Here is a 13,313-nt window from a genome sequence, read left to right on the forward strand (position 1 = left end):
AACACACAGGGTTAGCACCAAAGGGAGAACAAAGGGCTGCTATCACAAAGACCCTTAAAAATCACGTAGGGTAGAGAGAGGCCACAGTTACCACTGTCCCTTCTGTTCTCTGGGTCTTAATCTTTACTCCATGACTTCCTGAAAGGTCATTTAAATATGTTCAGTACCCCACCTTGAATATAAAATCATGGTAATTCCCACTCATCCACATCAGATTAACATTGTGAAATCATGTAATAGATGAAGAATTCAGCAAATTTAACACAATAAAATGTTTAATAATAAACATGATAGAAGAGACCAAGAATACTGCCGTGATGAAAGTGTTTACTCACCTCCAGTGGAGTTTGGCCTAATTAGATGGTAATCACATTTATCTGGTACACAGTGTTCATACATAAGAAACAGGCACGGTGAATGTTTGATCTGAGTACCAATAATCCTGGCAAGGTTCTGCTTTTACGCACATAAGTCTTCAAAGGAGGAAACTTTTTACCTAAATATTTTTGTATGTGCTTTGCTCCTTTGTAATTAGCTTTGAAGGATTAAAAAAAGAATTTTCCCAAATCATATGAGCATAGATGTGTTGCAGCGTGCCTAAATGTCTTTCAAATAATTCTCCATTAAGATTGTGCCTTCAGCGCTCTAACAAAGTGAGCAGAGCTGGGGAGGCATAGCAGTATTTGTTTGACTGACAGATTCTAATGCTCTCTGTTACCCTGCTGTGGGTTTCCTTTGTAGTATATCACAGGGCAATTAAATACATTGTTCCTTAGATACATAGCTAGATTGTTTATTTAAAAGTCATTTTGCTAATTAGAAATTACAACATCAATATGTAACTATCCAAAGTTACTCTTTGTAACTATCCTACCCATCCAAACGCTGACTTCATATAAGCATGTCTGAAAAACTTCCCCCATCAAAAATATCTTTGGACATGAAGGTCTACGGAATACTTCATATATAATGTATTCACCTAGTAATAAATAGCAGTTACATTACTCTCACTAATAAAAGAACTGCTTACTTACATGCAACAGAGGACCACACATAGAAATATCAACTTCACAGCCAGGCACAGTGCCTCACGCTGTGTGAATCACTTGAAGTCAGGGGTTTGAGACCAGCCTGGCCAACATGATGAAACCCCGTCTTTACTAAAAATACAATACTAAAAATACAAAATTAGCTGGATGTGGTGGTGCATGCCTGCAATCTCAGCTACTTGGGAGGCTAAGGCAGGAGAATCGCTTGAACCCAGGAGACAGAGGTTGCAGCGAGCTGAGAGGGCACCACTGCTATCCAGCCTGGGTGGCAGAGCAAGGCTCCGTCTCAAACAATAAATAAATAAAAATAATTTTTAAAAAATCAACTTCACAAAATGGTTGCAAAAGTCAGCAAAACAATAACAAAAATCTCCCTTCCCTTCAAGGGCTGTAAAATTCAAAATGGTTCACATTAGTAAAAAGCCCAGGCTTTTGCTTTTTGGGAAATAAATATTACAATATAATTCCCCTGAATAACTTTGTCCCCATGCCCAAAAGAAGGCAAGGCACAAATTGCAACCTATTTGTGGAGCTGCAATGAGCTGCCTTTTCTTGTAATTGTCTGTGCCCCCCAGGGACACCTGACCTTGCTTATCTGAGCATGAGCTCGCTGCTGAGTTCAGTCTGGACCTCTCCATATCTACACACGCTGGCTGGTAAATTAAGCAGGCCTCTCCATGCAGGTGGCCTGGCTTGCATATGTACTGCCTTCGTGGCCCAGTGACAAATGCTTGGTGTTATCATGGGTGTTACACACCAAAGTCCATGGAGACATTGGAGAAGTCAATGGGTCTGAAGTCATAAAGGAAAATAGGCACATGCCACCTGGGCTCTTTTATTTCAGTGTGTTTCTATGACACTTCTCTTTTATATTACTGTATATCGAGGTAAGGGTAGAATAATCATCACAATTTATTTGGAGGCTGGGATTTTATAGTGGAACAAATGTTTGGTTATTATTCCATATGTGTTTATATTTGTGTACATTATCTTCCAAAAGAAAAAATTACCAAACAACCTAATATAAAGATCATGCTTCGCAGGGTGCAGTGGCTCACACCTGTAATTGTAGCACTTTGGGAGGCCGAAGTGGGCAGATTGCCTGAGCTCAGGAGTTCGAGACCAGCCTGGGCAACATGGTGAAACCCCATCTCTACTAAAATATAACAGAAATTAGCCAGATGTGGTGGTGTGTGCCTGTAGTCTCAGCTACTCAGGAGGCTGAGGCAGGAGAATTGCTTGAACCCAGGAGGCAGAAGTTGCAGTGAACCGAAATAGCGCCACTGCACTCCAGCCTGGGGGACAGAGCAAGACTCCATCTCAAAAAAATAAATAATAATAATAATAAAAAAAGATCGTGCTTCATAAACAGAAAGATCTAGATTTAAGTGTAGCTTAGGGAAGGTCTCTCTTTGAGGGTAGGGACTGTGTCCTGCCTACTATTCTGTCTCCACTGCCTAGGACATGCCTAGCACATACACATTTGTCCTATGAATGATCAAACAATAATTGTCAGAAGTATTTGATTCATCACAGAGTCTTAATTTGTGTTTATCTCCCTCAAACCTCTTCCTTCTCGCTCCAATCTTTAGAAGAAGGAAGTTCTCATCTGTGTGTCCCATAATAAAAGGAGCCTGTGTGATTCAGCCACCATCAGGCTGCATACTGTCTTGTGAGGCTTTAAGAAGGACATGGCATTTTGGCTGGGTTGCACATTTCCGCAGTGAATGGTGGAAAGGAAAGGCACTTCAGGAGGATGAAAAGGTACTAAGAATGCAAAGGTGAAAAACTGCATGGGACAACCTGCTGGAGAAGAGACTAGGAGATAGAGCCAAATCCTAGAGGTTCTTAAATGCCAAAATAATTCTTCTTCTGTGTTCTGCTCTCCTGAGTTAGCTCAGCTGTCAGATGGGTTGTGTGCATGAGTCGACCTACCACAGTGCCAGGAGGTAACACTATAACATGATCCCCCGCTTCACTCTGTTTCCCTTTGCCAGGCACAGGGAGTTCACAACCGAAGGAGGCTGTGCTCAGCTGGTGGGCTCTTGGAGCAATGCGCCTTCTGATAATCCTTTTAGAGCCTCTGCTAAATCAGTCCTCACTCCGTGCTTCTCCTAAGAGAACTAGACATTAAGTCTTAAGACATTTGAGAGCTGTAATTAGACTTATAGGGACACAACACAGGAGTTCAAGAAATGTCATGGATGCTTTAAAGTAGGCTTTGAATCCTTTTTTTTTTTTTTTGAAATGGAGTGCAGTGGTGCAATCTCTGCTCACTGCAAGCTCCGCCTTCTGGGTTCACACCATTCTCCCGCCTCAGCCTACGGAGTAGCTGGGACTACAGGTGCACGCCACCATGCCCAGCTAATTTTTTGTATTTTTAGTAGAGACGGGGTTTCACCGTGTTAGCCAGGATGGTCTCGATCTCCTGACCTAGTGATCCGCCGGCCTTGGCCTCCCAAAGTGCTGGGATTACAGGTGTGTGCCATCAAGCCCGGCCTTTTTTTTTATTTTTAAATGATTGCTTAGGAACACTGAAGTCCAAACTGTAAGTTGAGAGCCTTACACAGTCTCAAAATCTAGCACAAGTCATCAAATAATAAATAATAGACTCTCTTAGCAGCCTTCCCTTTAATAACAATAAGGACACCAAATGACCTCAGCACTACAGCAAGATCCTGTGGACCCTTCTAGTTGGAGAAATCCAGAAAGTCCTGGGGAGGAGGTAGAGTCCCTTGAGGACTGAGAGGCAGTGAGTGGCTATTTAACAATTAGTATAGAAGTACTAGGTTAAATCACATGATATTACTGATATTTAACCGTTTGGGGCCTATAATACTGTCAATTTCATAGGGTTCTGGCTAATACCTCACTATGTTAGTAACAACACAGCCCTATCAGTACGTACATACCAGAAAGGAAGCAGAGATTATGTCTCCCTAATAATGGGCAAAGTTCAACTCTTGAGTTGTATTTAAGTAGCACAAATAAATATAATCTGGTAGGTATTTAGTTCACCTTATCCATGCAGGCACGCAGATATTTTAGATCACAAGTAGAAGGTGCTGAGATTGGAGGCACACCTTTTCTCCACACCCCATGCAGAAGCAGCTAACCTCTTGGGGGCATGTTTCAGGTTCTCAATATTGTTCTAAGACCATTCTGTGAGTTCACTTACTAACTTCTTACACAACCCTACATGGTGGATTCTATCATCACCCCCATCTTATGAAGAAACTAAGACAGAGAAATAGTTTCCAAAGTCCAATGTGAGTGATAGCAGAGATTGGTTTTGCACCCAAGCTGTCTCCAAACTCTGTGCATTTGTATTGGTCAGGGTTCTGCAGAGAAACAGAACCAACAAGAATACATATATATAAGAAAAAGTTTCTAATCAGGGATTGGTTCACATGATTATGGAGGCTGAGAAGTCCCACAATCTGTTTTCTACAAACTGGAGGCCCAGAAAAGCCAATGGTGTAGTTCTGGTACAAGTCTGAAAGCCTGAGAACCACGAGTCTGTGTCTATATAAGCAGTGTCTATGTCAATGTCTGAAGGCAGGAGATGATGGATGTCTCAGTGCAAGCAGAGAGCAACCTGCCTTTCCTCCACCTTTTTGTTCTATTCAGGCTGTTAACGGATTGAGTGTGCCCACCCACACTGAGGACAGCAATCTTCACTCAGCCTACTGATCCAAATGCCAATCTCTTCTGCAAACATCCTCCCAGACACTCCCAGAAATGTTTTACCAGCTATCTGGGCATCCCTTAGCTCAGTTAAGGTGACACATAAAATTAACCATCACAGCAGGTCAACAGCACTCTAGAGCTGGCTTGGGATCCAATGTGAGGCCAACAGAGGAGGCAGGGCATAGCAGACATTTGAAGATCAAAATGGCAAGTTTATTACCAACAAAAGCTGGGTTGGTACACAGGGCTTAGTACAACTATGGAAGATGGTAGACATCCACCTCTGAAAGACAGATTTGCCACTTGGTCAACTGCAGGTCCCCCTTATGGGGGTGTGCTGCTCCGGCAGGACAGAGAGTGGATGGGAAGGTCAGCATTGTGCAGACAGTCTAGAGAGAAAAAGAGAGCCCTGCAAGAGGCTGAGCTGAGCTGAGTTCCTTTTCCTGAAGTTACCAGTCAGATACTGTCTAAAGGAATAAGGAAAGGGTGGTCAACAGAGGTCCCTGAAGAGAACTCAGGGTGACCTATGAAATTGGAGAGCGGAAAAATTGCTTCTTTATTGTCTATCTGTTAAATTGCTTCTTTAACCTCTATCTGACCTACTAACCTGTAGCTGAAATTTAGCATTTCCTTCAGTTATGAAAGAAAGCTATAAGCCAGACTTACAGGAGCAGGGCTTGTGACTCTGTCAGCAACAGACGTCTCAGACATTTTCATACTACGGTATGACTGTGCAGAGATCTGGAATCACCCTTGTGTATATCATGACTTCAAAATTTTGGAAATTCAGACCTGCTGCTAAATCTTGTTATTAGTACATTAAGAAATACATATATTGGCCAGAGGCAGTGCCTCCCACCTGTAATTCCAGCATTTTGGGAGGCCAAGGTGGGCAGATCACTTGAGCTCAGGAGTTTGAGACTAGCCTGGGCAACATGGCAAAACCCCATCTCTACAAAAAATACAAAAATTAGTCAGGCATGATGGCGCATACCTGTAGTCTCAGCTACTTGGGAGGCTGTGGTGGGAAGATGCCTTGAGCCCAGGAGTTGGAGGTTGCAGTCAGTTGAGATCATGCCACTGCATTCCAACTTAGGTGACAGAGTAAGGCCCTGTCCTAAAAAAAAGAAAAAAAAAGAAAAGAAAAGAAAAGAAATATACATATTACTATATGATAAATTTATATGTTTTAAAGTATTTTCATAATCATATTCTGAGATAATTAATCTCTATAATTCTATGTGTTGTCTTGTATAATTTTAAAACATTATTCTGAGAAGGAATTCGTAGGCTCTACCAGACTTCCAAAGAGACCTCAAAAAATTTAAGACCCTTTGCTCTAGAAACAACAGCCCTTCCTCCACTGCTCTGCCCTAAAAGATGTTTCTTTTACACTAAATAATCTTGTTTCTCTAGGTTTGATGTCTCTTTCCTCTACTTCATGAATCTGCCCCATCTCTCCATTAGAGTCTTTAAAACACAGGGCTTTAAATGGAAGTCTCTCATGCTAGACTAGTAGGTTGGAGTTTTTTTTCTTTCTATCCTGCCTTCTCTTAATCACAAATTGCTTCAACTGTGCAAAAGTGTTAAATGTATATTTTTATTTTTGTTTTATGTATTCATGTCCTGACTTGTTCCAAAAATAGTTTTAGGGATTATTAAAATGATGCCTTTTAGGATCATCATGCTGCAATGTGACTAATTCTAGTGATTGACTCTTCCGCTTACAGCTGCCCAAGTACCTTGCCCTGAGTTTCCTTTTAAGCTCCACTTCCAGTCCAGGCACAGGGCAAGGCAGGGGCTCCTCCCAGAAAAATGCGTAAGAAACTGCTGCCACCAACATTGAGGGATGATTCACTTCTAGTTTACAAAAAATAGAATCAAAATTCTTGTTCCAGATACCACTTTAATAGTTTAATTACATGTGTACATCAGGAAAGTTTTCACCAAAATGAGTTTGTGTCTTACCCTAAGGATAGCCCACCTCATTGCAGGAGTCTTGGTAAGGATCAAACTCAGCTTTGCCTGGAGTAGAAAAGACTAAGTAGAGTTAATGCTTTCTTTTTGTTGCATAATTTCTCATTGTCCAACTGGGAAATTGAAATTAAGAGAGAAAAAGAAAGAGACAGACACAGCCTGATGATTTAATGCAGACCTAATCTTAAGTCTTCAATTAGATTTTATTGGTCTTCTACTAGCTTCTTTTTGGAATTTCTTTTTTTTTTTTTAAGTAATAGCCCACATATTTGCTCCGAAAACTCAAGTCTTTCTCCATATTCAATCGTATCATGACATCCAATTCACCTTGTTCATTTATACTGCTATTTTGAAAGCCTTTAGAATTTGATTCTCTCTCTCCTGAAACTTCTTTGAGGAAAAAGAAAATATGGAAATGGATTTCCTTCCCTATCTCTGCCAAATATAAACAATTCATACAGGACCACTAGCAAGAGTGCTGCTGGCTCATGTAACATAGACTGTGCCCAGGCTGGAACAAGCTTATCTGGGCACACTCTGGGAGGAGAGCTATGTATGTGGTCAGCCTCCTCAGAGGATCTGAAACTCATATGAATTTATCAGTGCATCCCACCTGGTACTGATATGTGTATAAAAATATCTGAATGGGTTCTTTAACTCAAGACTTTATAAAGAATCTACTGAAAGTGATGAAATAAAAACCCAGAAGGAGACTACCAATTAATATAAGCACTGTACACACACACACACACACACACACCCCACAGCAGTGCCACAGCTGCCACCACCACACCCAGAAAACAAATTACAAACACTGTACTATAAAGTTCTGGTATTCACTTCTCAAACCTTTCTTACAAAGGAATTGATAAAAATTCTTAGCCAAGTCCAGAAAAGGGTACTGCCCTGGTTTAGCCTGTCCATATCCTCTCTTGCTATCACGGTCTCAATTCTGCTGCCTAAAGACCTATTTCTAGTGGTTCTAAACCTATTTGCACCAATGTGTTCTTTCCTTTTAGCAAGCCATTTAATATTGGCTGTAAATGATTCTCAGTCTGCAGTTGCTTTAAGTGACAATTTTAAGTACACAGTCTTTAGCAACCTCATTCCTACCGTGATTGCTTTCATTCAATGCCTTCTGAAATGCTAGCCACCTGTCAACATGGACATGGTCATTATGCTTGCAAGGCACTCGAATTCTGCCTTTATTCTGCACCTAGAGTCACTCCATCGTTGGAGTCCTGTCCAGCCTCTGAGAGGCTACAGCATTTCAGAGGACTTTTAAAGCAAATGACATTAATTTCCAGATTGTATCCAAATCGAAAGAGGTCTCCTATATATGTGGAACTCATGGACCTCTTGATAGTTCCTGGATAGCCCCTTTCAACGTGCTCCTCAGGGCACATGCAAAAGGCCTTAGAATTACACCCTTCATTCCCACGGTCTGGTAGGCAGTACCAGGGGTTCTCAACCCTGAGGCTGTGACACTATGTATATTAGTCAAACATGAGATATTTTGGAAATAAATCGTTACTGAAGTTAGAAAACGATTGGCTTCTTTAATAAGTCAGAGCCAATTCCAGGTTATTCCCATAACAGTGGCAACTGTACTTACCCTTCTTTTTATGCAAGAAAAACCTATGGACATTTGCACCAGGAATAAAATGTAGTCTAAGACCCAAGTTATCTATGCCACGGACCCCTAATTCTTGCAATGATAAGAACTGTTATTGCTGTTATTACCTCCATTTCCCCCCTCCCATTTTGGGGTTTCAGTGAAATCTGAGTATATACAGGAAGTATGTGGTATCAAAGATGAACAAAGTTGGACACTAGTCAGAGTGGTAAGGATAGATCTTAATCAGTACTATGCTACTGCACTGAACTCCACCTTGATTTGTACAGCAGTATCTGGGTGTTTTAAAGTGAGAAAGAGGGAAAAGGGAGAAGGGAGAGCAAGGGATCAGAAGAGTCACGAAAGTGAAAATTACAAAAAGCAGGGAGGCAGGCATCATTCCATGTGAAACCATCTGGTTTGCTAACTGACACTTAACAAAAGTTAGGCTCCTACCCTCCCACAGAGGCTGGGAGACAGGAGCCCTATCTTCAGGTGTTGACTGGAGAAAAACAGTAAATTCTTGGGTAGGCACGGTGGCTCACGCCTGTAATCTCAGCACTTTGGGAGGCTGAGGCGGGTTGATCACCTGAGGTCAGGGATTCAAAACCAGCCTGGCTAACATGGCAAAACCCTGTCTCTGCTAAAAATACAAAAATTAGCTGGGCATGGTGGCGGGCACCTGTAATCCCAGCTACTCGGGAGGCTGAGGCAGGAGAATCACTTGAACGTGGGAGGTGGAGGTTGCAGTGAGCGGAGATCGCGACATTGCACTCCAGCTTAGGCAACAAAAGTGAGACTACATCTTAAAAAAGAAAGAAAGAAAGAAAGAAATTCTTTTGGCAGCCTTCAGATTCTCAGGTGGACACTTCAAGGGGTGCTGGGGTCATCCTAGGGTTCAGCTTGCACTGTTTGACATTATGTTACTACTTGTGCAAATCTTCATAGGCCAAGGTTGAGGCCTCGTTGAGAACTAGGCTCAGAGGACGCTGGCTAGAGTTTGGCCAGGGAAAGAATCTTTGTCAGTAGTTGTGTCAACGTCAATAACTATACTAGTAAAGAGTGTGTATGGAGGTGGTGGCGGGTGGGGCATGGAGAAAATTTAAAATGTCTGATATAGTTTGGATATTTGTCCTCGCCCGAATCTCATGTTGAGTTGTAATCTCCAATGTTGGAGGAGGGGCCTGGTGAGAGGTGTTTGGGTCATGGGGGCAGATCCCTTGTGGTTGGGGGCTGTCCTTGCCATAGCGAGTGGGTTGTCAACGAGACCTATTTGTTGTGAAGTGTGGCACTTCCCATCCCCCTGCTCTCGGTCTCTTGCTGATGTGATGTGCCTGTTCCCACTCTGTCTTCTGCCATAGGTAAAAGCTTCCTGAGGCCTCCCTAGTAGCAGAACAAAGGCCAGCACCCTGCTTCCTGTACAACCTGCAGAACTGTGAGCCAATTAAATCTCTTTTCTTTACTAATTACCCAGTCTCAGGTATTTCTTTATAGCAATGCAAGAACAGCCTAATACAATACCTGAGCCACTACTGATCCCTTTTGCAATCACCCTGGGCAGTACAAACCTAGAAATAACCATTCTAAGTAAGACCACCAGAAATGGCCAATATTTAACCATTTCTGACCCATAAAAAGAGAAAGTTCATATGGTTTAATTTAATATTATTCACATTGCATTTAAACATTTAAATCTGGAAAACAGATTGACAAAAATTACCCAGATCTACCCAAAGGGTCTGCAGGTGCAGGAAGCAGACAGCTTAAAATGGTTTTATATTGTTTCATTTCATTTCACTTTAACCAAGAAGATTGCAATGATATACATTGTTGTAAATGCTTCCTTGTTTATGCTCATGTTTGGATAGCTACATCTGAGAATAGTGATGGAATTTCTTCCTCAGAAGAAATTGCAAGGAGAGTACTTCAACACTACAAAAGAGTCTGTCAGTAGAATTTAAGAATAATTGCATTAAATTCTCCAGAAATGGATAGCTGTTGTTTTAAATTTTCTGAGAAAACATTTAACACAGAGGAATAAATTATCTCAACTTGAATTTCTCTGATTGAGTGTCTCCATCAGTAAAGGGTGCTATTATGCCTGCCACTATAAGTTGACCCCAAAATACAAATTAAAATGTGTGAAGTGGAGGAATGATTATATTCTTTTAAAGTTTTCACTACATTTTAATTTCTCAAGATAATTTGGTGGTTGTTGGTGTTGTTACAATAAAGGCATTCAGCAAATACATTATAAGTGAGCTTTACCATGCTGGAATTCCTCCTTAATGTATTTAACTGTATGTATGGAACTAGGTCATGCTCCATTGCCAAGATCGTAACAATTGTTATTTCAAAACAAAGGTGTGGCCATAAATAGTTTAAACATTGGCAATCTAGATCTTCCTCTTTTTAGTACTTAATTGCCATAAAATCAGAAATGCTCAGCACTTCAGGTCTTGCCTTTTAATTAAAAGTTTAAAATATATGCATCATGAAAATGCCTTAAACATTGTATCAAGTCCAGGCCAATTAGGATCAGAGAATGTATTCAGAGATAGCTTTACCAGTTGACATTTCCAAAAGATTTCAACCTCTGATAAGGGAGGAAAAAAGAATATGGAGAGGAAAAAAATGTTCAATTGGCCATTCCTTGATTACTGAGCCATAACCATATAATTTTTTCAACACAACAGTGGCAATGCAGGTTTTATTAGTCTACTCAGGTTGATATAACAAAAAACCACAGTCTGAGTAGCTTAAACAACAGACAATTATTTCACACAGTTCTAGAGGCTGGAAATCTAATATCAAAATGCTGGTGGATTTGGTTCTTGGTGACATCATCTCTCTGGCTTGTAGACATCTGCCTTCTCACTGTGTCCTCACATGACGGGAGGAGAAAGAGAGAGGACTCTGGTTTTTCTTTGTCTTATAAGAGCACTAGTGTCTTAAATTTAAGTCCTTGATCCATCTTGAGTTGATTTTTGTATAAGGTGAGAGATGAGGATCCGGTTTCATTCTCCTACATGTAGCTTGGCAATTATCCCAGCACTGTTTGTTGAATAGGGTGTCCTTTTCCCACTTTATGTTTTTGTTTGCTTTGTCAAAGATCAGTTGGCCATAAGTATTTGGGTTTCTTTCTGGGTTCTCTATTCTGTCCCATTGGTCTATGTGCCTATTTTTATACCAGTACCATGCTGTTTTGGTGACTATAGCCTTATAGTATAGTTTGAAGTCAGGTAATGTGATGCCTCCCGATTTGTTCTTTTTGCTTAGTCTTGCTTGGGCTATGAGGGCTCTTTTTCGGTTCTATATGAATTGTAGGATTGTCTTTTCTAGTTCTGTGAAGAATGAGGGAAAATTTCTGGAATATAACATCAGAAAAACCCTTCTAGACATTGGCTTAGGCAAAGACTTCATGACCAAGAACCCAAAAGCAAGTGTAACAAAAACAAAGATAAATAGGTGGGACTTAATTAAACTAAAGAGCTCCTGCACAGCAAAAGGAACAGTCAGCAGAGTAAACAGACAACCCACAGAATGGGAGAAAATCTTCACAATCTGTATATTCAACAAAGGACTAATATCCTTTGTTATTATCCTTTGTTCATAGTTATGAATCTACTATGAACTCAAACAAATTAGCAAGAAAAAAAATACCATCAAAAAGTGGGCTAAGGACATGAATAGACAATTTGCAAAAGGAGACATACAAATGTCCAACAAATGTGTGAAAAAAGTGCTCAACATCACTAATGATCAGGAAAATGCAAATCAAAACCACAATGTGATAACCACATTACTCCTGCAAGAATGGCCATAATTAAAAAATAATGGATGTTGGTGTGGATGCAGTATAACGGGAACACTTCTACCCTGCTGGTGGGAATGTAAACTAATAAAACCACTGTGGAAAGCAGTGTGGAGATTCCTTAATGTACAAAAAGTAGAACTACCATTTGATCCAGAAATCCTACTACTTGGTATCTACCCAGAGGAAAAGAAGTCATTATACAAAAATGATACTTGCACACGCATGTTTATAGCAGCACAATTTGCAATTGCAAAAATACGGATCCACCCCAAATGCCTATCAATCAACGAGTGGATATAAAAATTATGATTATATATACATATATATATGATAGAATACTACTCAACCATAAAAAGGAACAAGTTAATGGCATTTGCAGCAACCTGGATGGAACTGGAGACTATTATTCTAAGTGAAATAACTCAGGAATGGAAAACCAAACATCATATATTCTCACTTATAAGTGGGAGCTAAGCTATGAAGTTGCCAAGGCATAAGAATAATACAATGGATATTGGGGACTCAGAGGGAAAGGGTGGGACGGGAGTGACAGATAAAAGACTACAAATTGGGTTCAGTGTATAATGCTTGGGTATACCAAATCTCAGAAATCACCACTAAAGAACTTATGTAACCAAATACCACCTCTTCTCCAAAAACCTATGGAAATAAAAAATTTTAAAAAAACAAAATAAATGGCAGGGCACAGTGGCTCACACCTGTAATCCCAGCACTTCAGGAGGCTGAGGTGGGCAGATCATCTGAGGTCGAGAGTTTGAGACCAGCCTGACCAACATGGAGAAACCCTGTCCCTACTAAAAATACAAAATTAGCCGGACATGGTGGCACATGCCTGTAATCCCAGCTACTCAGGAAGGCTAAGGCAGGAGAATCGCCTGAACCTGGGAGGCAGAGGTTGCAGTGAGCCGAGACCGCACCATTGCACTCCAGCCAGGGCAACAAGAGCGAAACTCAGTCTCAAAATAAGAAAAGAAAAGAAAAAAACATAAAATAAATAAAACTGACAAAAAATAAATTAATAAGGGCACTAGTGTCATCCTGAGGATCTAAACCTTATAATCTCATCTAAAGCTAGCTATCTCCCAAAGTCCCCACCTCTAAACATCATCCCATTGGGGGTTAGGGCTTCAACATGTGAATTTGA

At 40.7% G+C, this 13,313-nt stretch overlaps 1 annotated feature.

The window, feature by feature from the left end:
- Nucleotides 1,497-1,697: a silencer, noted in NCBI's record as "peak4064 fragment used in MPRA reporter construct". NCBI's record gives its function as "represses an SCP1 promoter by STARR-seq MPRAs in K562 erythroleukemia cells {active_cell/tissue: K562}" and the evidence as "EXISTENCE:reporter gene assay evidence [ECO:0000049][PMID:32103011]".

Source organism: Homo sapiens, chromosome 2 (assembly GCF_000001405.40).
Source record: "Homo sapiens chromosome 2, GRCh38.p14 Primary Assembly".
Taxonomy (NCBI): Eukaryota; Metazoa; Chordata; class Mammalia; order Primates; family Hominidae; genus Homo; species Homo sapiens.